The 19,905-nt window shown below is 48.9% G+C and overlaps 2 protein-coding genes and 1 long non-coding RNA gene across 21 annotated transcripts in view, besides 4 other annotated features; 1 reads left to right on the forward strand and 2 right to left on the reverse strand.

Annotated features, from left to right (window-relative positions):
• Positions 4,955 to 5,249: an enhancer, noted in NCBI's record as "tiled region #4554; HepG2 Activating non-DNase unmatched - State 22:ReprW, and K562 Activating DNase matched - State 5:Enh". NCBI's record gives its function as "activates a minimal TATA promoter and a strong SV40 promoter by Sharpr-MPRA in HepG2 cells, with weak activation in K562 cells {active_cell/tissue: HepG2 | K562}" and the evidence as "EXISTENCE:reporter gene assay evidence [ECO:0000049][PMID:27701403]".
• Positions 10,683 to 13,137, reverse strand: HOXB2 (homeobox B2). Of its 2 annotated transcripts, none has more exons than NM_002145.4 (2): positions 12,549 to 13,137; positions 10,683 to 11,775 (listed from the first exon to the last, which is right to left on the reverse strand). In NM_002145.4, the coding sequence occupies exons 1-2, from the start codon at positions 12,937 to 12,939 to the stop codon at positions 11,096 to 11,098; spliced, it is 1,071 nt and encodes a 356-aa protein (NP_002136.1). In that variant the 5' UTR covers positions 12,940 to 13,137; the 3' UTR covers positions 10,683 to 11,095. The 2 variants fall into 2 exon arrangements, with proteins under 2 accessions (NP_002136.1, XP_005257332.1); XM_005257275.5 differs by having other exon boundaries at positions 11,922 to 12,618.
• Positions 11,263 to 11,552: a silencer, noted in NCBI's record as "silent region_8652". NCBI's record gives its function as "represses an Ori minimal core promoter by ATAC-STARR-seq in GM12878 lymphoblastoid cells {active_cell/tissue: GM12878}" and the evidence as "EXISTENCE:reporter gene assay evidence [ECO:0000049][PMID:35858748]".
• Positions 11,263 to 12,005: a biological region, named in NCBI's record as "H3K27ac-H3K4me1 hESC enhancer GRCh37_chr17:46620694-46621339".
• Positions 11,360 to 12,005: an enhancer, noted in NCBI's record as "H3K27ac-H3K4me1 hESC enhancer chr17:46620694-46621339 (GRCh37/hg19 assembly coordinates)". NCBI's record gives its function as "activates a minimal SCP1, AML or CMV promoter by ChIP-STARR-seq in primed H9 embryonic stem cells {active_cell/tissue: H9 hESC(primed)}" and the evidence as "EXISTENCE:reporter gene assay evidence [ECO:0000049][PMID:30033119]".
• HOXB-AS1 (HOXB cluster antisense RNA 1) lies at positions 12,379 to 19,269 on the forward strand. Its single transcript, NR_102279.1, has 7 exons — positions 12,379 to 12,440; positions 13,149 to 13,385; positions 13,523 to 13,592; positions 16,403 to 16,491; positions 17,917 to 17,974; positions 18,368 to 18,430; positions 19,052 to 19,269. It is a non-coding gene; the product is annotated as an HOXB cluster antisense RNA 1 (long non-coding RNA).
• The window catches only part of HOXB3 (homeobox B3), a 41,372-nt gene continuing 38,364 nt past the window's right edge, over positions 16,898 to 19,905 (reverse strand). For 17 of the 18 annotated variants that reach the window (NM_001384747.1, NM_001384750.1, NM_001384749.1 and 14 more), the window contains one exon: positions 16,898 to 19,209. In NM_001384747.1, the coding sequence (NP_001371676.1) occupies positions 18,362 to 19,209 (848 nt within the window). In that variant the 3' untranslated portion in view covers positions 16,898 to 18,361. The remainder of the gene's footprint in view (positions 19,210 to 19,905) is intronic. The other variant, XM_047435904.1, reaches the window with a different exon arrangement.

Raw genomic sequence — 19,905 nt, forward strand, 5'->3', positions numbered from 1 at the left:
AGGTGATGTTTACAGCGGGGTGAAGAGGAGGGGAATTTTTTATTCTCTTCTTGAAGTGTTTAAAACTAGTGGAGACCTGCATTCTCCTGGTTCCCTCCTACCTGTCTCTCCTTCACCACCCTCCATCTCCTTCCAAAAAAAAAAAATTTCCAAACCTCAAATGCATAAATTTAATACCAGTTAAATCTTAAAGATTCCTCCAGATTTCAGTAATTTTTCTAGGATTGATAAAGGGAGTTTGGTCAGAGAGTGGGAGAATCGGGGTGGAGGCCCTGAGGCTCTGAATTCTAAGACTCCAGAGTGAGGAGTGGAGTCTCGCCCCTTTTTGTTCTGTGTGGCTGTTGCGGAGGGACACAGGATGTGTCTTCTTCACTCTCTCAGACTCCAAACCCAGATGGGACTAGAAGAGAAGCCCTTAGGTAGAGCCCATTGACTCTCCTCCTCCGGACAACTTGAGGGCAAGAGCTTGGGGCAATCCAACACCCACGCTCATTTGTAACCTGTCAGGGTGTCTGCCTGGCCGGAGGCCTGGGGCCGAAGCTAGGGCAAGTCCAGGAGGGCAAGAGTTCAGGGAGTGATCTCTGTAAACAACGGAGCTCAGGAGAGGAAAGGGAAGCAGGTGGGACAGGTTTAAGGAGGACCCTCAAAACTTCTCAGGTTTCCACACCCCAAAAAGGGCAGGGCGAATACTCCTTCCTCTGCAAGGGACCCCAAAGTTGTCCCCTGCAGTCTGTGTCTTGCCCCTCCATCTTTGTCTCCCATTCCCTCTTGTTTTGCTTGGCCTTACCGTAGCTGCCTCTCCTGCTTTCTGCTCTATACCACCAGCATCACACTGCCTTTCTCTTCTCTAATAATTGTGGGCCTAGCCCAACTCTGTTTTTTTGAGGGGGAGGGTTTTGTTTTGTTTTTGTTTTTTGAGATAGGGTCTTACTCTGTCATCCAGATTGGAGTGCGGTGGCATGATCTCAGCTCACTGCAACCTCTGCCTCCCAGGTTCAAGCAATCCTCTCACCTCAGCCTCCTGAGTAGCTGGGACCACAGTCAGGCACCACTGGGCCTGGCTAATTTTTTTTGTATTTTTAGTAGAGACAGGGTTTCACCATGTTGGCCAGGCTGGTCTCGAACCCCTGGCCTCAACGATCTGCCTGCTTCGGCCTCCCAAAGTGCTAGGATTGCAGGCCTGAGCTGCCACACCTGGCCATCACCCCCAACTCTGAAAGAGCTCAAAGCATTTCACAGAACCCCTGCCTCCTTTTCCCGATCATGTGTACTCTGCTTCAGACCCTGCTTCAAGCTGAGGGGGAGGGGCACAAGCTGGTAACTTCTTTAATAGATGCAATGGGGGTGAGAGAGAATGTTCACTTGCCAAGGGAATGAGGGCAGACAAGAGAAAGGAAAATTGAGATGGGAGGAGGTGACCTGCAGAGGAATTGAAGAGAAAGAAATTATTGAGGTAAGAGCAAGCTTATTTCTTTCTATTTTACTTTTTCGGGGAGAAGATTTGCAGATGCTTCATCCTTTCATTTTAAGATGTCTTCCACAGACGCTAAGAATAACTTGTCTGGAGGAATCTAGGGCTTGTCTTCTAACCCCAAATTTGAACAAGGCCTGTATCTGATCTGGCAGCCCTGCTTCTGAGAGACTTGAGACTTGTTCACCTTCCACCTTTTCCTCATCCCGGGGAGAATCTTCTCACCCCATCCTTTGCCTTCATAATTAAGGGAACAATTTGAGGTCTAAAGGAAGAAGTGAATTTCAAATCAGTTTAATAAAACAGCACAAATCTGGGAATTGAGGAATGCATTCCCTTTATAACAGCTGAAGTCACCAACAATCTATTATTCATGACAGCAAGCAAAGACTGAGGCAAAAGTGCCCTAAGTTGGCTGGGTGCAGTCCCAGCACTTTGGAAGGCCAAGGCAAGAGGATCACTTGAGCCCAGGACTTCGAGACCAGCCTGGGCAAGATGGTGAGACCACATCTCTACAAAAATAAATAAATACAAAAATTAGCTGGGTGTGGTGGTGCCTCCCTGAAGTCCCAGCTGCTCAGAAGGGAGGATGGCTTGAGCCCAGGAGTTCAAGGCTGCAATGAGCTATGACCACACCACTGCACTCTAGCCTGGGTGACAGAGAACCTGTCTCTATTTAAAAAAAAAAAAAAAGTGCCTCAAGTTATACTGTCAATTGCAGTGATTGCCTCAGCTTTCCAAATTCACTATGCTCCCCAATTCATCCCTGAGTCATGCCACCTTCTCTTGTGTTAGCAGGGACATTAAAACTTGCCCAAATTCCTGCTGGCTCTCCCAGCCCCAGCAGAAAAGACTGGGAGAACCAAGCAACTTTGCTCCCTAGGTTCCCAATCTCCTCCTCCTCCCTAAAAGAAGCTTCGCTGACTGGAATAACCTATGGCCCATAGGATTTTTGGTGGACCAAATTAAACTCACCAGAGAGGGTCTGGGTGGACCCAACACCAAAATGAAATAAAGTTGATGTCCTAGTTTGTATGATCTGCTTGTACATAAAAGAGAGCAAGGAGAACATAGACATGTTTGGAACTGAAGTTATCTTTGACAGTTTTCACTCCTTATCACACTGAGAATGCAGGCAAGGAAACTATCTAACCAGAATGGGGATATATTAGAAGTTTAACCTCAGATTCTGGTCCTTTCTGTGAAGGAAGCTGCTTCAGCTGGGGGCTTGGCAGGAGCAATCTAAATTCTCTCATTAGACCTTAAATGTCTCTATCTGCTCTCCCCAGCCCAAATCTAGGGAGGCCAAACCCAAGATCAAAGGTTGGGGCTAGGCCAGTGAGGTGGCTCATGCCTGTAATCCCAGCACTTTGGGAGGCCAAGGAGGGCAGATCACCTGAGGTCGGGAGTTCAAGACCAGCCTGACCAACATGGTGAAACCCCCATCTCTACTAAAAAATACAAAAATTAGCCGGGTGTGGTGGCAGGCACCTATAATCCCAGCTACTCAAGAGGCTGAAGCAGGAGAATCGCTTGAACCCGGGAGGCGGAGGTTGCAGTGAGCTGAGATCGCACCATTGCACTCCAGCCTGGGCGACAGAGCAAGACTCAAAAAAAAAAAAAAAAAGTTGGGGCTTAGGAAGTAAAGAATATTCATAATTTTTTCCTTCTTTCTTTCTTTTTTTTTCAGGCAGGGTTTCGCTCTGTTGCCCCAGGCTAGAGTGCAATGGTGTAATCACGGCTCCCTACAGCTTTGACCTCCTGGGCTCAAGCGATCCTCCCACCTCAGCCTCCTGAGTAGGTAGGACTACAAGCATGCACCACCACAAGTTTTTCACTATGAGATGAATTGTTTTTGTTGCTGTTAGAGAAAGGATATTTCTTTTAATGCAAGCTAATTAAACTGTCATAAATCTGGTTGAGAACCTTAGACTGTATGTAGTACATATTGTAATGGGATTAGTGCTAGCTATGTGGGCCAGAATAGTTGGGTTCAAGCCCTTGCTTGGCCATTTTTTTTTTTTTTTTTTAATACAGGGTCTCACTTTGTCACCCAGGCTGGAGTGCAGTGGCGCAATCTCGGCCCGCTGCAACCTCTGCCTCCCAGGCCCAAGCAATCCTCCCACCTCAACCTCCCAAGTAGCTGGGATCACAGGTGTGTGCCAACATACCCAGCTAATTTTTTGTATTTTTGGTAGAGATGGGGTTTTACCATGTGGCACAGGCTGGTCTCGAACTCCCAAGCTTGGGCAATTCACCCGCCTCAGCCTCCCAAAGTGTGGGATTACAGGCGGGAGTCACTGTGCCTGGCCTTTGCTTGGCCACTTCTTAGCATTGTGGCCCTGGACAAGTTTCTTGATTTCTATTAGTCTCAGCCTCGGAGAAAAAGAATGGGTTTAATACTACTTATCTTGCTGCCTTGTTAGTAGGATTAAAGCAAACAAGAAAATACAAACCACAGGGAACTCTCTAAATGTATGATATTAACTTTAAATCACATTCTGAAATGCTATGAGTCAGTCTTCTGCTTTTTAATATAACTAGCATATTAAAATATGGAAATAAGTAGGCTGGGTGCGGTGACTCATGCCTGTAATCCCAGCACTATGGGAGGCTGAGGCAGGCAGATCACCAGAGGTCAGGGGTTCGAGACCAGTCTGGCCAACATGGTGAAACCCTGTGTCTATTAAAAATACAAAAATTAGCCGGGCGTGGTGGCACACACCTGTGGTCTCAGTTACTCAGGAGGCTGAGGCAGGAGAATTGCTTGAACCTGGGAGGTGGAGGCTACAGTGAGCCGAGATCACGCCATTGAACTCCAGCCTGGGTGACACAGTGAGATTCTGTCTCAAAAAACAAAAAACGAAAAACGAACAAAAACTTATCTATCTATCTATCTATCTATCTATCTATCTATCTATCTATCTATGTGTGTGTGTGTGTGTGATAGGAGGAGAATAGCATTTAGGCTATATTTTCATGTAACATAGCACCATATATTATACAATATAATATGTACTTTATCATATGCAAATTTCATTGAGAATTGAGAAGATTGGCTCTGTTTAGGCAAAGGATTTTCTTCTAACCTGAAGGGTTTCTTGAAAACCAAAGCCTAATATTTTATGCCTATAAAGAATCCAAATTATTAAAATTGCAACAGAAAGGTTTGTGGTTGGATATTAGAAAGAACTTCTTGATTTTCCAAACATTGGGGAAAAGTTTTCTAGGGAGGATGTTGTCTCTTCTTCCTTAAGGAATTTCGCTTGGAAACTGTCCATCCTAGAGGTGACCTGACTTCTGGATCTAGACAGATCAGCAAGATGTAAACTTCCATCTGGAGTCAATAATTGGGGGCATGATTAAATAATGACTGAGATCTTTCTAAAAGGAAAGGTTAGCGTGACATGAAGAATTAAAATAATTTTCTACTTAATCGAGTTTATCTAAATGCAATAGTTTTTTTTTGGCCAAAATATCTGCTTTGGAAATCTTAGCCAAACAGTGATCAAGCTGAATTTGGGTCTGAATGACTATACAGATTGTGATTTTTCTGCAGTTGTTGGGGGAGAGAGAAAGTTTTTTTTTTTTTTTTGAGACGGAGTCTTGCTCTGTCACCCAGGCTGGAGTGCAGTGGCGTGATCTCGGCTTACTGCAAGCTCCGCCTCCTGGGTGCACGCCATTCTCCTGACTCAGCCTCCCAAATAGCTGGGACCACAGGCGCCTGTCACCACGCCCGGCTAATTTTTTCGTATTTTTAGTAGAGACAGGGTTTCACTGTGTTAGCCAGGATGGTCTCGATCTCCTGACCTCGTGATCCGCCCGCCTCAGCCTCCCAAAGTGCTGGGATTACAGGCGTGAGCCACCGCGCCCGGCCCCGGAGAGAGAGAAAGTTTTAAGAGGGCTCCTTTACTATTCATTCTCTCCTCTGAAGAGGAAGATCTCTTTCCGGCACTAAATATCTACCTTACCCTGAATGTGGACAGAGGGATGGCTGGAGGAGAGAAGAGGGGTAGGCAGAGCTGGGCTGGAGAGATCAGTGGAGGATCTGGGCTATAATCAGCCTCAGCAGGCAGAAGATGAATTGAGGCCCTACAGGCCACCTTCTGCAAAGTGAGGACTGAGAGTACATCCCAAGAAGATCTGCAGTGGGGCCAGCAAGTGCTTGTCAGAGACTTGGGTAAAGATGGGTAGGTGAATTCAGCAGTGCTGTTTAGGGAGTCTCAGAAATTGTGCCTATGCTCTGATGCCCCAGCAACCAGATTAAACATAACTAAAAGGGACTGTTAAAGTCTAGAACATCATGTCAAAAAAGAAGTTTGGTGGCTCTTTTTATATGAAATGGCCTACTTAAAAAAACAAACAAACAAAAAACAAAAGAAAAAGAGTAAACATAACCAAATGTTGGGGGAGGTGGCAGAGGATGAAAGTCAAAGGAAAACTTGGCTAGGATACTTTTTAATACTCATATTTATTGAATACCAGGCACCTGGCAGACAATGCTGCACCCGATTACCTGCTTGTTGAAAAGATTTTGCTCTCTACTCATTTAAATAAAGATAAATGCATGATTATTGGTGTAAAGATACTAATTAAAATGTATTGACCAGGCACAGTGGCTCACGCCTGTAATCCTAGCACTTTGGGAGGCTGAGGCAGGAGGATCACTTGAGCTCAGGAGTTCAAGACCAACCTGGGCAATACAGTGAGATATCATCTCCACAGAATATTTTAAAACTAGCCGTAAAAAATAAATAAATAAAATAAATAAAAGGCCAGGGGAGGTGGCTCACACCTGTAATCCCAGCACTTTGGGAGGCCGAGGCGGACGGATCACTTGAGGTCAGGAGTTCGAGGCCAGCCTGGCCAACATGGTGAAACCTCATCTTTACTAAAAATATAAAAATTAGCCAGGCGTGGTGGCAGGTACCTGAGGTCCCAGCTACTTGGGAGGCTGAGACAGGAGAATCACTTGAACCCAGAAGGTGGAGGTTGAAGTGAGCCGAGATCCTGCCACTGCACTTCAGCCTGGACAACAGAGTAAGCCTCCGTCTCAAAAATAAATAAATAAATAAATAAATAGCCAGCCAGCTGCGGTAGCTCATGCCTGTAATCCCAGCACTTTGGAAGGCCAAGGCGGGCAGATCACCTGAGGTCAGCAGTTTGAGGCCAGCCTGGCCAACATGGCGAAACCCTGTCTCTACTAAAACTACAAAAATTAACCGGGCATGATGGCGGGCGCCTGTAATCCAAGCTACTCAGGAAGCTGAAGCAGGAGAATTGCTTTAACCCAGAAGGCAGAGGTTGAAGTGAGCCGAGATCACGCCATTGCACTCCAGCCTGGGCGACAAGAGCGAGACTCTGTAAAAAAAAAAAAAAAAAAAAAAAAAAAAAAATTAGCCAAACTTAGTGGCTCGCACCTGTACTCCTAGTTACTCGGATGGCTGACATGGGAGGACCACTTGAGCCCAGGAGGTTGAGGCTGTGGTGAGCTGTGACTGCACCACTCCATTCCAGCCTGGGTGACAAAGTGAGACCCTATCTCAAAAAATAAAAGAAAATTTGTTAAAATGGCCCCACCAGATTCACGTGAGGTAGGTCACTGTCAAACACCAAGAGTTACTTAACAGCACAAGACATCGGCCATAATAAACAGTTAATACATTGTTTGTGAAGACTAAATAATATATACTAAAGAATATGCATATATTAATGTAGAGTACATTAGAGGCATTTAATTCTTACATTTATTTCACAGATAGAGAAACTGAGGTCCAGAAAGGGGAATAGACTTGCTCAGGCATAAGTTAACTTTTTTTTTTTTTAATGACTCAGGGTTACCATGATTGCGAGTAATTCCTCAGTCTAATGGTCCTTTGCTTTCACTGTAATATTAATGGGACATGCCTCTTAAAAGAATGATTCACTAAGAGCAGGGCAGACTGACGAGCAGCTTTCCGGGCTGCACTGAAACCTTCCCACTCCAACCACAGGGAATTTATAACCACTCTGTGCTACAGACCACTCACAATTGGTCCTGACCCAAGAGGAACCCTGCCCCAATCAGGATGGAATAAGTGAGTGCGGCCACTTGGAGCTGCCCTCTAATCTGCCACCACCACTGGGGTCTGCTGCCCTATCTGGGAACCACCCCCTCTTCCCCTTACTCCTCCATGGCCAACTGGGAAAACTCAAGCTAAAAAGGATGACCCAAGAGATGAAAGAAGGAAAAGAAGTTAATTCGGAACACAGGGATCCTGAATTGCAATCCTTTATGAATCCCAAATTGCCAGGCATTCCCTTGAATCTGAATTGGGTAGGGAAATTGAAGATGGGAGTCACTTCCTTCTGCAAATTCATTGCCTCTTTGTGCTGCCGTGGTATCATCAGAGACGGTGAGTTTCATAAATTTGGAAAGAAGACAGCCAGCAACGCTTTTGTGTTTCCTGTAAAAAGAGTTTCAACTCCTCTCCAATAATCAGCCAAAGACAACACCTGGACTAAGACCTCTCACCCCTAGGATATCCAAAGTACCTGAATCTAAACAGGTACATTGAGCCTTTGGTTGGCTCACCACTACTTTGGCAGGAAGGAATCAGGACTGATGCAGGCCCAGGCAGGAACAAAGATTCCCTGCCATTTGAGCTACTGGTTTGGGTTGGGAGAATTGGAAGGCAGGGGCCAGGTAAAGTGAGTCAAAAATTCTGAAGCATGGAGGAAGGCAGAAAGCAAGGTGGCACTGTGATCTAGCAGTACTTCTCAAACTTTTAAGTGTACATAAATCACTTGGGGAGCTGCTAAACTGCAAATTCTGATTCAGTAGGTCTGATTCAGGGGCCTAAGATTCTGTATTTCTAAGTAGCTCATAGGTAGTGCTGATGCTGCTGGTCCATGGAGCAGCCAGGCTGCAGAGAACTGGTGCATCGGAGGCCCTTGAGTGCTGCAGACCATGATGGGGGATAGGAATTCTCTCCTGCAGAGCCAACTCTGCATTTTTTTGGCATTGAGGAAGGGTGCTCTCATTTTGACCAAAGAAACTGGAAGGTAGGACATTAGCAAGATCCTTGTGATATTCTTGATCTTTGTAACAACCTGCTATAGCTAGCTGCAAGAGCATTTTTAATTAGACCAAATTATCTAGTTTGACTGTCCATAGAAATCAAAGCCCCAGCTGAAATATCTGTTCATTTTGCTAGTGTAGAGATGGCTTGTGTGCTGTGATTTTTAAGATGTTAAACACTGCCTGTGGGCATATTTTATGGAGAAATAAACACACAGCCCAATGAGATGTATAGCGTAGTTTTAATATATTGTATATTCCCTTATTTATGGGGAAAATAAACACATAAGCCAATAAGCTGTGTATTACTACTTTAATATATTGAATTTATTTCATACCTATATATTTTATGAGGGAAAATAAGATACATGACATTATTATAACACATCTAATTGTTCTATATTTATTTATGAGAGAAATAAGTGCAATTTAACATGATGTAAGATTAATGCACGAGATGAATTCTATATTAAGACAGTTTAAGGGATTAAGTTCCAGCTAACTAAGAGGTGTGTACTTCCCACACTGAGGGACCCATTTTAAAATATGCAAAGGGCCTGTCTAGTCCTCTGTGTCACAACCTATGTTGGCTCCTGGCTTATCCTGACAATTGCTGCCTCTGGGTGACTGGTACTCTAAATCCCGGTCCTGTTGGTCCAGGGGAAAGTCTGGAGGCCCAGGAAATAAACTGCTTTTTGAGAAGGGCAGCATCTGCCGGGGAGATAGCCCCGTAGTGTCTGTTTCTGAGCGGGAGAAATATTAAAGAAACCTAAGGAGGATGGATGGCTTTCCGGGGACCTTTAAACCTCCACCTTCCCAGAACAAACCAGGAGGCAGATGGGGGAGATCGATCCTTGCTTCCCGCTTACCAGGTTTACAAGGAACCAGGCAGGGTGTGGTGGGGGATAGACAGGACATGGTGTTGATACGTGAAATGAAGTTGTTGGTCAAGACTGGTGGGTCTGCATTCAGAGAAAGCTCTGGCCTGGCTTCAAATCCCACAGCGAAGAATCAAAAGTCAGACTGGATGAGGCACACCCAGGCCCGCAGACCCGCCGCTCTCCTTCCCTTCCCACATCCACCCGGACTCTCCTTCCATCTCGCGTCCTCAGCGTCCGTTGGGCTCCACTTTAAAAATAAAAAAATCAAACTAACTAAAACGAAGGTGGGACCCCCCAGGCTCCCCTTCTTCCCTGGCCTCTGGAAAATCCAGCTGGGAGGACGCAGGGGCGGGGGCAGATCCCGGCTGGGCCGGCGCCTCCTGCAGCGGCTGTCATGGCGGCCACAGCTTCTTCCCTCGCCCCCCCCCCGGCCCGCCGCCCGGCCCCAGCGCCATTTTGAGCATCGTCTTTGCTTCCCTGTCTCCCTCCCGCTCTCCTCGCTCCTCCTTCTCTCCCCGCAGGTCCAGCGCCTCGCGACGCTGCCGGGCCACCCTGGGCTTCTCGCCCGGCTGCTGCTTGGATGGTCTCCCAAACCCCAGCAGCCCGAGTCCATGGGTGTCCCGGCAGCGCCACATTTCTCAGCTGGCCTCTTTTCTTGCCCACTGGGAAGCCAGTTACCATCCCTGGGTGCGGGACCCTGCTTCCCGAGAAAATCCCCGACCCCACTCCACTCCTTGGAGAGCCACCTACAGCTCCCAAAGAGGCCCGGCTCAAGCCCCAGGCCTCGCGTCCCTAGGCTTCTTGAGTTCGGAAAAAGGTCCTACACCGGCTTCGGTCATAAGAAGCAAAAGCCTAGGAAGCCCTTGGATTGTTCCCAATTCCAGTAAACTTCTGCCCCCGCCACGACCCTGAAGACTGTCCACAGGCTTCCTCTCCTTTCACCCTCCTCTGTTCGCTGTACACTCTCTCCCTCGACCTGCCCATCTCTATTTCCAAGCAGAGGCCCCAGAACCACCCGCTCAGGACCAAAGACCCTCTGCTGAGGGGCGGGGAGGTGACCCAGCTTCCTGCAAACTCCCGACTTTTGCCGGAGCCGTGGGCGAAGCGGCCATCAATCGGGTCACCTTTGTACCACCCGGACTTCGCCGGCCCTGGAGGCTTTGCTGCCATATGGGCCGCTGAACCTAATCAACTTCGCACAGGTCCTGGAGGGGTGAGGACCGGCCTTGGGGCCGCGGGGAAAGAGTTTAGGTCCCAACACAAACACTCGTTTTGGTATTATAAAGACATTTATTTAATCTATGAAAATAATGTACAATAAATACTTTCCCCTTTTCCTATTATTAAAGAATTTTAATAAATAATCTACAGTCTAAAACATAAAAAAGAGGAAAATAGGTCCCTCTAGTTATTTTTAAGAAAGTCCCCCTAGAGTTTAATTATTCCTGAGATTTCATTGGAAGGAGTCTACCAAACGGAATTTTTCTGTGTGAATTTTAAAAGATAACCGAGTGCCCAATATTTTAGAAGAAGAAGAAAGGGAGTGGATTAAACGCTAATTCAGTAATACCTGAATTTTAGCAAAACACATAAGTCTATGCGACTGAGGGTGGGAGAGGCTCGATTTTTCCAGTAGACGGCCAAGGAGCGCGGGGGTCGAAAGGACCGGGAGGAGGAAACAGGTTAGGGAAACTGCAGGTCGATGGCACAGAGCGTACTGGTGAAAAAATCCAGCTCTTCCTCGGAAAAAGGGACCGGGCTGTCGAGAGAACCCTGTAGGCTAGGGGAGAGGCCTCCGGATAGCTGGAGACAGGAGTCGGCCGCGAAGAAGTTGAGGTCGGGAAGGAAAGGTGAATCCTGGCGCCCCGAGAAGACGTCTTCTGGCAATGGCCCGGGCTCCAGCCCGCCGGCCCCGCGCAGCGCGCAGCCGGGACTCGACGCGCCTGCGCCCTCTAAGCGAACGGCTAAAGGCCGGGGGTCCGCGCTTAAGGCCCCCGGCACCACCTCCGGCGGGTGACAGCAGGCTTCCCACGCCGCCCGCGAGGCGGAGGGGCCGCCCGGGCTGGCCGCGGGTTCCTCGGCAGGGTCGCAGATGTCCTCCAGGGCTCCCGGGCAGGCAGGCTCCCCATCCGGCGGCTCTCGGTGCTGCGTCTGCCGCTTGTGCTTCATGCGCCGGTTCTGAAACCAGACTTTGACCTGCCTTTCGGTGAGGTCCAGCAAGGCCGCGATCTCGACGCGGCGTGGCCGGCACAGGTACTTATTAAAGTGGAATTCCTTCTCCAGTTCCAGCAGCTGCGTGTTGGTGTAAGCCGTGCGCAGCCTGCGCGCCCCGCCGCCACCAGCCTCCGGCAGTCCCAGGCCATCTGCAGGGAAAACAGGCTCGGCGTCATAGCGGGCCGTGTACTCAGCCCAACCTCAGTTCGGACTACCCCATCCTCCAAAACCAGTATCACCTCTCCCCTTCCTCGCCACCCCACCCCCGCCCCCACCCCAAAGCCGCTCGCTTTACTGCTTTTGGGTTTTCTTCTCTCCCTCTCTAGTCTACAGCCCCGGCCCGGGTCAGGGCAAAGCATTCAGAGCCGCCCACGGGCCACGCAGGGGGCGGAGAGCGGCTCCCTTCGGCGCCGGAACCTCAGATCCCCCTCCCAAGCCCTCCCAGTGGACCCCTCAATTCGGAACTTTCCAACTCAACCGGAGCGAGGGTCAGAAAGATTGTTCTTCACCCCTCTTCCTCCCTAGCTCTGAATTCTTCCTCTTCTCCTAGAGTTGGGGCAGAAAGGACCGAATCTTTTCTGCTTCTAGGGTCTATCCCAGCAACAACATACTCATTCCCCTACACAGATACGGGTGAAAACCTCAATCAAATCATTTTCTTCTAGCAGAAAAAAAGGCGTTTCCCCAACCAGCTTCCAAAATCAGCCATAGGGAGAGAAAGAGAGAGAGAGACAGAAAAAAAAAAAGACGCTGTTAGCGGCCAGGCCTGAACCCCAGTGGGATATTCTACTTCCCCATCCCAGGAATGGAGGGGGTAAGGAACCCCAACAGGCTCGCCACCATTTTTTTTAAACCTCCTTCCACTGCTTTTTCTCCCCCTCTTCTAGCTGCCCCTCACCCCACCCCCACCACGCTTACCGACCTGCAGGCGATCCGACCCCGGAGGCCGGAACGGCGGAGGCGGCCGGAGAAGGAGACGTGGCGGATTGGCTGGGTTTCTTGGCGGATTTCTTCTCTTTCATCCAAGGGAACTCGGGGGCCGGGGGGGCAGCGGGGAGTGGCGGCGGCGGTGGCGGCGGCAGAGCAGGCCCATCTTCGGCTCGCTTTTGGCTCCTGGGTCTCTGAAGGGTGGAGGCGCCGGGCTGGAGGCTGGGGAAGGTTTGCTCGAAAGGAGGAGGAGGAGGAATTAATGTCGACTCCTTGATTGATGAAGTTTGAAATGTCTCCAAGACAGCGGGGAAGGAAGTCAGACACTCGGCGAGCGACGGCTGGCTGTTTATAAACCCAATCTCCCTCTCAAATTCAAAATTCATGGCTTTCAATGGTGGGGGAGGGGGCTGCTGGGGGGGGCGTCAGGAGGGAGGATCGGAAGGGACCCCCCTCCTGCACCCCCCCCGATTTATGTAATGGAGCGATTTTGGGAGGGGGAGATTTCGGTCTCTCTTTTTTTTAATTTTGGGCCTTTATAATTGTATATTGCTGATAAATACAAGCGTATGGGGACTCTCTCTATTAAACCCAGGACTCCAGCGAAATTACAGGGAATTCGTGGTCACGGGACCGGCCTCCGCCAATCGCTCGTCTGGGCCTGGTGGAAAACAGAGAGCATTATTTGGTTTAATTGATTCAAAAACACCAGAGGACCACGACCAGGACACCATGAGCCCCCATTCCTACACCAGTGCCTCACATGCTCTCTCCCCAATGCCTCCGTTTCTCCAGAAAAGCTAGAGGAACCTTTTCCTCATCCCCTTCGAAGGTTAGAAGGTTTCAGAAGCCTGGAAAAGAAGAGACTCTAAGGGAGAAACCTTCCTCTTTTCCAAGTATTTTAATAGAGTAAATTAAGGCCTTCTTTACGTGGCCAGCAGCATCCCCTTCCCTTCTCCCCTTCCCCAGGAAAAGATGAGTGAGGATCTCCGCGTTGGAGGAAGAGGGAGTCGAAAGAGGCTTCCACTCTTTGAAAAAGGTCAGTATTAAGGTGAAAATAAGAAAGAGATTTACAATCATCACACCACTATCCCTGTTACCCTCCAAAAACAACAGTTAAATCTTGGGAAATGGACAGGAACTCCCAGGCAGACACATAGGAGTGAGATGGAGCATAAGGGGCATTTTTGGGCCTCTGGCCTCCATCGCTGTATGGTCTGGGTTCTCTTCTCTGCCCAGTGTTTGCAGCACTGCCTCTGCCCCTTATGTACCCCTGCTTTCCTCACTTTCAGGCTTCCATGCTTCTCTGTGACATCCCCCAAAAACAGGCAGAGTCTAAGATGTGCATGTACCCACTCAAGCCTCAAGCTTGTATCTGTATCCATATCCAGGGACATGAACAAGAACTGAGGTAGCCATTGGTTTAACTTAGAGCACTCTCAAAGTTCAGATCAGCGTTATGTGTGTGCATGAGTGTGGTGGGGAGATTTTCCCCTAGGACAAAGAGACTTTCCCTCCCATTTTTGCCATTGTGCTAGTTAAAAAAGAAAAAAGAAAAAAAAAAAAAAAAGAATCCCTGACAAGGAAGAATTCCCTGAAGATGGTAGGGGTGGAAATAATGACCACTGAGATGATATTCCATTTCTGGCTGCTGGGGGAAAATGTTTTTAAAATTTATTTTATTTTGAGGAGACCAAGATAGTCTGAAGTTTAGAGTGTTGTAATTTACTATGGGGAGAGGGCACAAGACTCTGAGCCCCAAGCAATTGGTGGGAAACTAGGCCTCAAAGCAGAAAATGAAAAGTCGATCTGGGGGAAGATTTTTAAATAAGTGGGTCAGACGGATGGAGAGGAGATGAGGCGATCAATCTTAGCCCCCTGACAGCTCCCTCCGATTGCATCAAAGAATTTGGCTCTTTGGGAAAGCAGAGCGAACAGCCAAAATTTCACATCCCTTAAAAAGGCCTGGGGGTGGGGGTGGGGGTGCAAAAGAGAAGGGTGATTCTGGGAGAGCTGGGAAACAGATGGGAAATGGGGACAGAGGGAAAGCGCTAAGTTGGGTGGAAAGTTTGCCTGGAGAACTCCCATGGCTTTGGCCTCCCCTCCCCCTCCTCTCTCTCTGCTGCCCAGCCAGGAGGAGAAGGCTGGTTAGCAGAGAAATGGCAACTGAGCCCGGAGCTGGAACTAGAAACTTTCTGTCAGTGTAACATCTGCGTGAGTACTTAAAAAGAAGGACAGAGAAGTCTGAGTAGAAGCATGAGGGTGGGGGAGAGGAGGATGGAGAAAGGGGAGTTGGAGGTGGGGGCTGCAGGGACCGAGGAGGCATGCTCTGGAGGGCTCAGAACAGAGAGAGCTGCTCTGACCTGGGCAAAGTGGCCAGCGACAGTAGTGTGCAACTAGGCTCCAAAGAAAACAATTTTTGCCATTTAGAGGTGTGGATGGGGGTGGGCATAGAATAATCCAAATAGTAGCTGTCTGGAAGTCATGCAGGGAGGCCTGAGAGTGGGTTCTCCCTCTGGCCACCCCCTTGAACACCTCTGAAAGTTTAGCAACAGCTTCTGTAGCTGGCTGAAGGATCCAGAGCTTATCTCAGGCAACTCGGGCAGACTGTCCCTGCAGGAAATACAGCTCTCTCTAACCCTCACTGACAGATTTTATGGCCAGATTAGCAAACAGCGGAAAACTTGGGTGTTAAAAGGGGCCCAGAGAACCCTCCTTTTCAGAGACATCCCTCCCCCGCCCCCCTGTCCTGCTGTGAATTTAACAGCACGGATATTTTACCCACGTCTTTGGCTGCTTTAGCTGAGCGCCTGGAATCTTCCAAAGAGAAGGATAGGGAACACCAAGCCAAGTTGGTTCTTATTTTTCTTGTTTGCAATTCCAGCTTCGAGCCAAAGCTCTGTTTTTCAAACTTAAGCTAAATTCTCTTTCTTGGCCTCTTTCCTGCTAGATAAATAACAACCCAACCCAGCCCCAGAGCCAAACATGGTGCTTCATCTAGTTATATCATTCAGAAAATGTTATTCAAGGAAGAAGAGAGAAAGAGAAAGAAAGAAAAACCCTTGAGCGTTATTTGATCCCAATCAAACTTTGCACGCTCTTATGCCTTTAAATTATAGCCTGACCCAATGCTAAATTGCTTGCTGCTTGGATGAGTCCAGTTAAAATCCTACTTGGTGGTGGGGAAGGGGGAGGGCGTAGAGTTCAGGTTGCTTTTTTATTGTTATTTATTGTTGCATAAAGACTATAATTACTAACCTTGGACTGCCAGGATGCAACATAAAAATGAAAATCAGCCCTCTCTTTAAGGCAGGGCCTGGAACGATTCTCACTCCCCCAACATCACTACCACCAAATATATGCTCCTAATTAAGCAATGCGGGCACATCGCTTACAATTAGAATTATGCAGCTCTTCAGCAAGCAGCCATCGCTTCTCTTTCAACGAATTAGCTCCATATTTCAGCCGCCCTGTCTTCTCGCTCTTATCGGCTCCAGCGACTCGGCGGTGACATTTCATCTTTGACAGACCTTCTCTATTTTCACTCCAATGTGATAAAACTTTTATGGAACCACAACTAAGAAATGAAGTTTTCCCAAGGATGATGGAAACAGAGCCGCACATTAGCCTGGGGACCGTTTTATTTACGCTTGGATCCAACAGCTTCTCCCACCCTCCTCTCCCCTTTCTCTGGCAGGGGAAATCGAACGTGCTTCCCCTCCCTCCGCCTCGAGTTTTATTTAGTGATTTAATTTTACTTAGTTTTAAAGTTTGACCTGAGAAGTCTAGGCCTCAGTTTTGTTTTTTTTTTTTTTTTAGATTAATCATTTTTCTTTGTTTTCATTTTAGACCCAATGGTGGTTGGGCTTCGGGTCACGTGACACCTTCTTTGTGGCTCCGGAAGAGGATTGTGAAGTTTAGGTTTCGTGGAAGAAACCGTAATCGGCCAGATTTTCTTGGTGGTGGTGGGAAGGGGTGGGGGGTGGGGGGTGCATGGACGCTGTGGCCAAAGGAGCTAACAGACGAAAGGTCAATGAATGAAAAACCTAGAGGCATACAGGCCAAACAGAAAAACCTACAGAGAGCATCCAAGAGTCCCCCGTTACCTCCCAACTTGCTACTTAAACCACAGCTGAAGAAGTTGGCAAAATGTTACAGGCTCTTATGAGTGAGAAAATGGTATTTAAACTTAAGACATATCAAGGGGGAGACAGGAACCTGGGCAGTGGACAAAAAGGCCAGGGAAGGGTCTTCAGTGTCCTTGTCCTTGTCCTTCTTCCCTTGGGGGAAATTTGGCAGTCAGCAGCCTTGCTCTGCTATCTAAATTGGACCACCAGGACAAGATAAAATTGATAACAGAAAGTTTATTCAAGAATTGTTTGACAGACAACCCTTTTAGGTAAGGAAAAAAGTAACTACTGAAGAACAAAGAAAGTTCCAAGAGGGAATTAACTCTAGTTCTACAAATTCAGGACTATACAGTGACGATTAGGAGCTGAGTTCATGCCTTTTAGAACTAATTACAATTGTTCGTAAGTACGAGTTTAACATAAATCTACAGCTCTTTTCTAGAGTACAATAGTAACTAAAATAGCTGGTTTTACATGACAGGAAACACAATGTCCTTTGTAACAGGTAAATACTAAAAAAGTACAATTTTTTCCTTTTTTTCCCTCATATAAATACATAATGTAGGGGGATAAATAATACAAAAAAGAAAATATTTTAACAGGCTATAACCAATAAATATATATGAAAATGTTCACTAGAACACACGCTTTTTTGAGCAATGCTGGACTTCTGCAGGCCCAGACATCTCTCACAGTTGTTTTTACATCCATTAAAATGTAAATTCTAAGTGCAACAAAAGTGTCCTGTCAGGAGGCTGAGCAAGGCACACAGGCCCTGCCCAGCCCCTGCCTGGGACAGTTTGTTCAAATATACCCTGTTTTCACGTTAAGTCAAGAGAGCAACAGAAGAAAAGTATAGAACCTCGTGTCACCAACTGCTTTCTGTGGAGAGGGGGATGGAGCTGGAGCTGAGATGGAGGCAGCAGAATGGGCAAACCTTCAGTCCTAACAACCTGCCTGCCCTAGCCTCCACACTTTTCCTTAAAAAAAAATGTATATAATTTATAATATAGGCAGCTCTTTCAGGATCTCTCACCATCCCTGAGCCCTCTAAAAACTGTAATTGATGGGGGTGGGATGTATAGATATGAATGTTCTAGAGCAGAAAAACCGGGGGCTAGAAGTGTACCTCAATAAACCTCAAATGGGAACAAATTTGAGGTTTTGGGAAAGTTGGAAGGGAACGTGTTTTGTGCCTTTTGGGTTTGAAATGTGTTTTCTTATTTTTTAAAGGATAATTGAGGAAAAAAAAAAATCAAGATTTGGGGGGAATTACCTACAAAGATGTAAGGTAAGTCCGTTGGTTGGTGATGGCCTAGCCATCTTGTCTGGTTTTTAAAATGTGCTTTTCTGCCTCGTCCTGTCTCGTCTTCCTCTACCCCACTCCCGGGCGTGGAATTCCAACTTGGTAGTGCTGGAGCCCTGGGGTTGATGGGGTCATCTCCAATATGATGTGGATTCCTTTCCGATGGGTTGGCAGGCAGATGGAACAAGGGGTGGAAGACTTAAAAGCAACCTCTCAGGCCAGGGGGAAGGGAAGGAGCTCCAGGCCGGTTCTGACCAGGAAGCCTGGGTACCACCTTCTCTGGCTCCTCTTTTCAGACCTCCAGGTTGCCCCCCAGAGCTCCACAGTCTCTCTCTTCCTCCCCATCCCCTAATCCTCGTTCGCCCTTTCCCATCACAGGTGTGTTAATTTGGGCGCTTCTTGGATTCTACCCTGAGGAGGAGGCGCGTGGTGAGAGGAGAGGTCTGTGTAGGTGGGGTGGGGTTCGCAGGGTCCGTGGTGCTGGCTGGGCGCCATAGGGGGCGCCCCGTTGTAGTCCAGGTTCCCGGAAGGGTGATGGGAAAGGTGGTTGAGGCCATAGAGGGAGGGGCCGGCAGGGGGCGGCAGCGGATCCGCGTAGCCGCCCCCGCCCACGTACACCGGACTGCCCTGCATGGTGGGCGTCCCGTAGGCGCCCCCGTTGGCTTGGAGGACGTGCGGCTCATACTCGGGCGCCGGGGTCGGAGGGTACTTCTGCGGGGCGCCGCAGCCTTTGAGAGGGGGCTGGTAGTTGGAGGGCAGCGCGTAGGCATTCTGGTGGGCTTTACCGAAGGCGGGTGGGGACGGGCTCTCGTAGCTGGGGGTCATGGAGTGTAAGGCGTTCATGAAGCCGGCCGTGGACTGCATGGGCTGCGGGGGGCTGCCGGCTGGAGATGGGCCCCCCGACGACGAGGCCAATCCCTTGGCCTTCTGGTCCTTCTTGTACTTCATGCGCCGGTTCTGGAACCAGATCTTGATCTGCCGCTCGCTGAGGTTCAGCAGGTTGGCCATCTCTACACGGCGAGGCCGGCACAGGTAGCGGTTAAAATGGAACTCCTTCTCCAGCTCCACCAGCTGCGCGCTCGTGTACGCCGTCCGCGCCCGCTTGGACGCCGCCGACCCCGGGGGGCTCTTGTCCCCTCCCCCGCCGCCGCCGCCACCGCCCCCGCTGCCACCACTGCCTCCGCCGCCGCCGCCACCGCCGCCGCCACCACAGCCCTCTGCTGGATCCGAGGGGGAGGGGTGGGAAGGGGAGAAAATGAAATAAAAGATAATTACTGAACACGCCGAAATTGAATGCATCGTTTCTTAATAAATCCAGGCCTGGACTCAGAGCCCCCGCCGCCCTCCCCTTCGGGTCCCCGCCGCCTCCTCACTCCCCCACCCCACCGCCCGTCGCATTAGCGGACACTCTATAATAGTGGCATTTATTAAGAGACCTGTTCTCCTTTCGCTGCCCCAGCTTATGAAAATTTGATCATGTCACGCAGACAGAGCCGCATGGCCATTTATTTAGGGCTGGATTTTCGCGTGCGTGCTTTCTCCCCCTTATCCCCAATTCCAGGTCAGGGAAGACATTTCCCCTCCCCGCCCACCCCGTCCTGAGGACAGGATGGGAGACTGAGGAGAATCCTCGGGGTAATCTGGACACTCGTGGGCAGGAAGTGTGGCACGAAGAGGCTGCCGTTTCTGGAGGCCGGGACCCCGGGCCGTCCAAGCGATTGTGATTAATACCCACAGTAATCATACTTAATAATAATCAATCGTTGACGACTCTGCATCCTCCCGGCAGCGCCTCGTCTTGGCTCTGTGGCCTTGGGAAGGGCTTTGAGGCCACGCACTGGGCCTTCTGGAGCTTTCAGAAGCTCCGGTGGAGGGCAGCTAGAGGGAGGAGGGTGTTGGCGGGGTCAGGGGTCATT

Source organism: Homo sapiens, chromosome 17 (genome assembly GCF_000001405.40).
Source record: "Homo sapiens chromosome 17, GRCh38.p14 Primary Assembly".
NCBI lineage: Eukaryota > Metazoa > Chordata > Mammalia > Primates > Hominidae > Homo > Homo sapiens.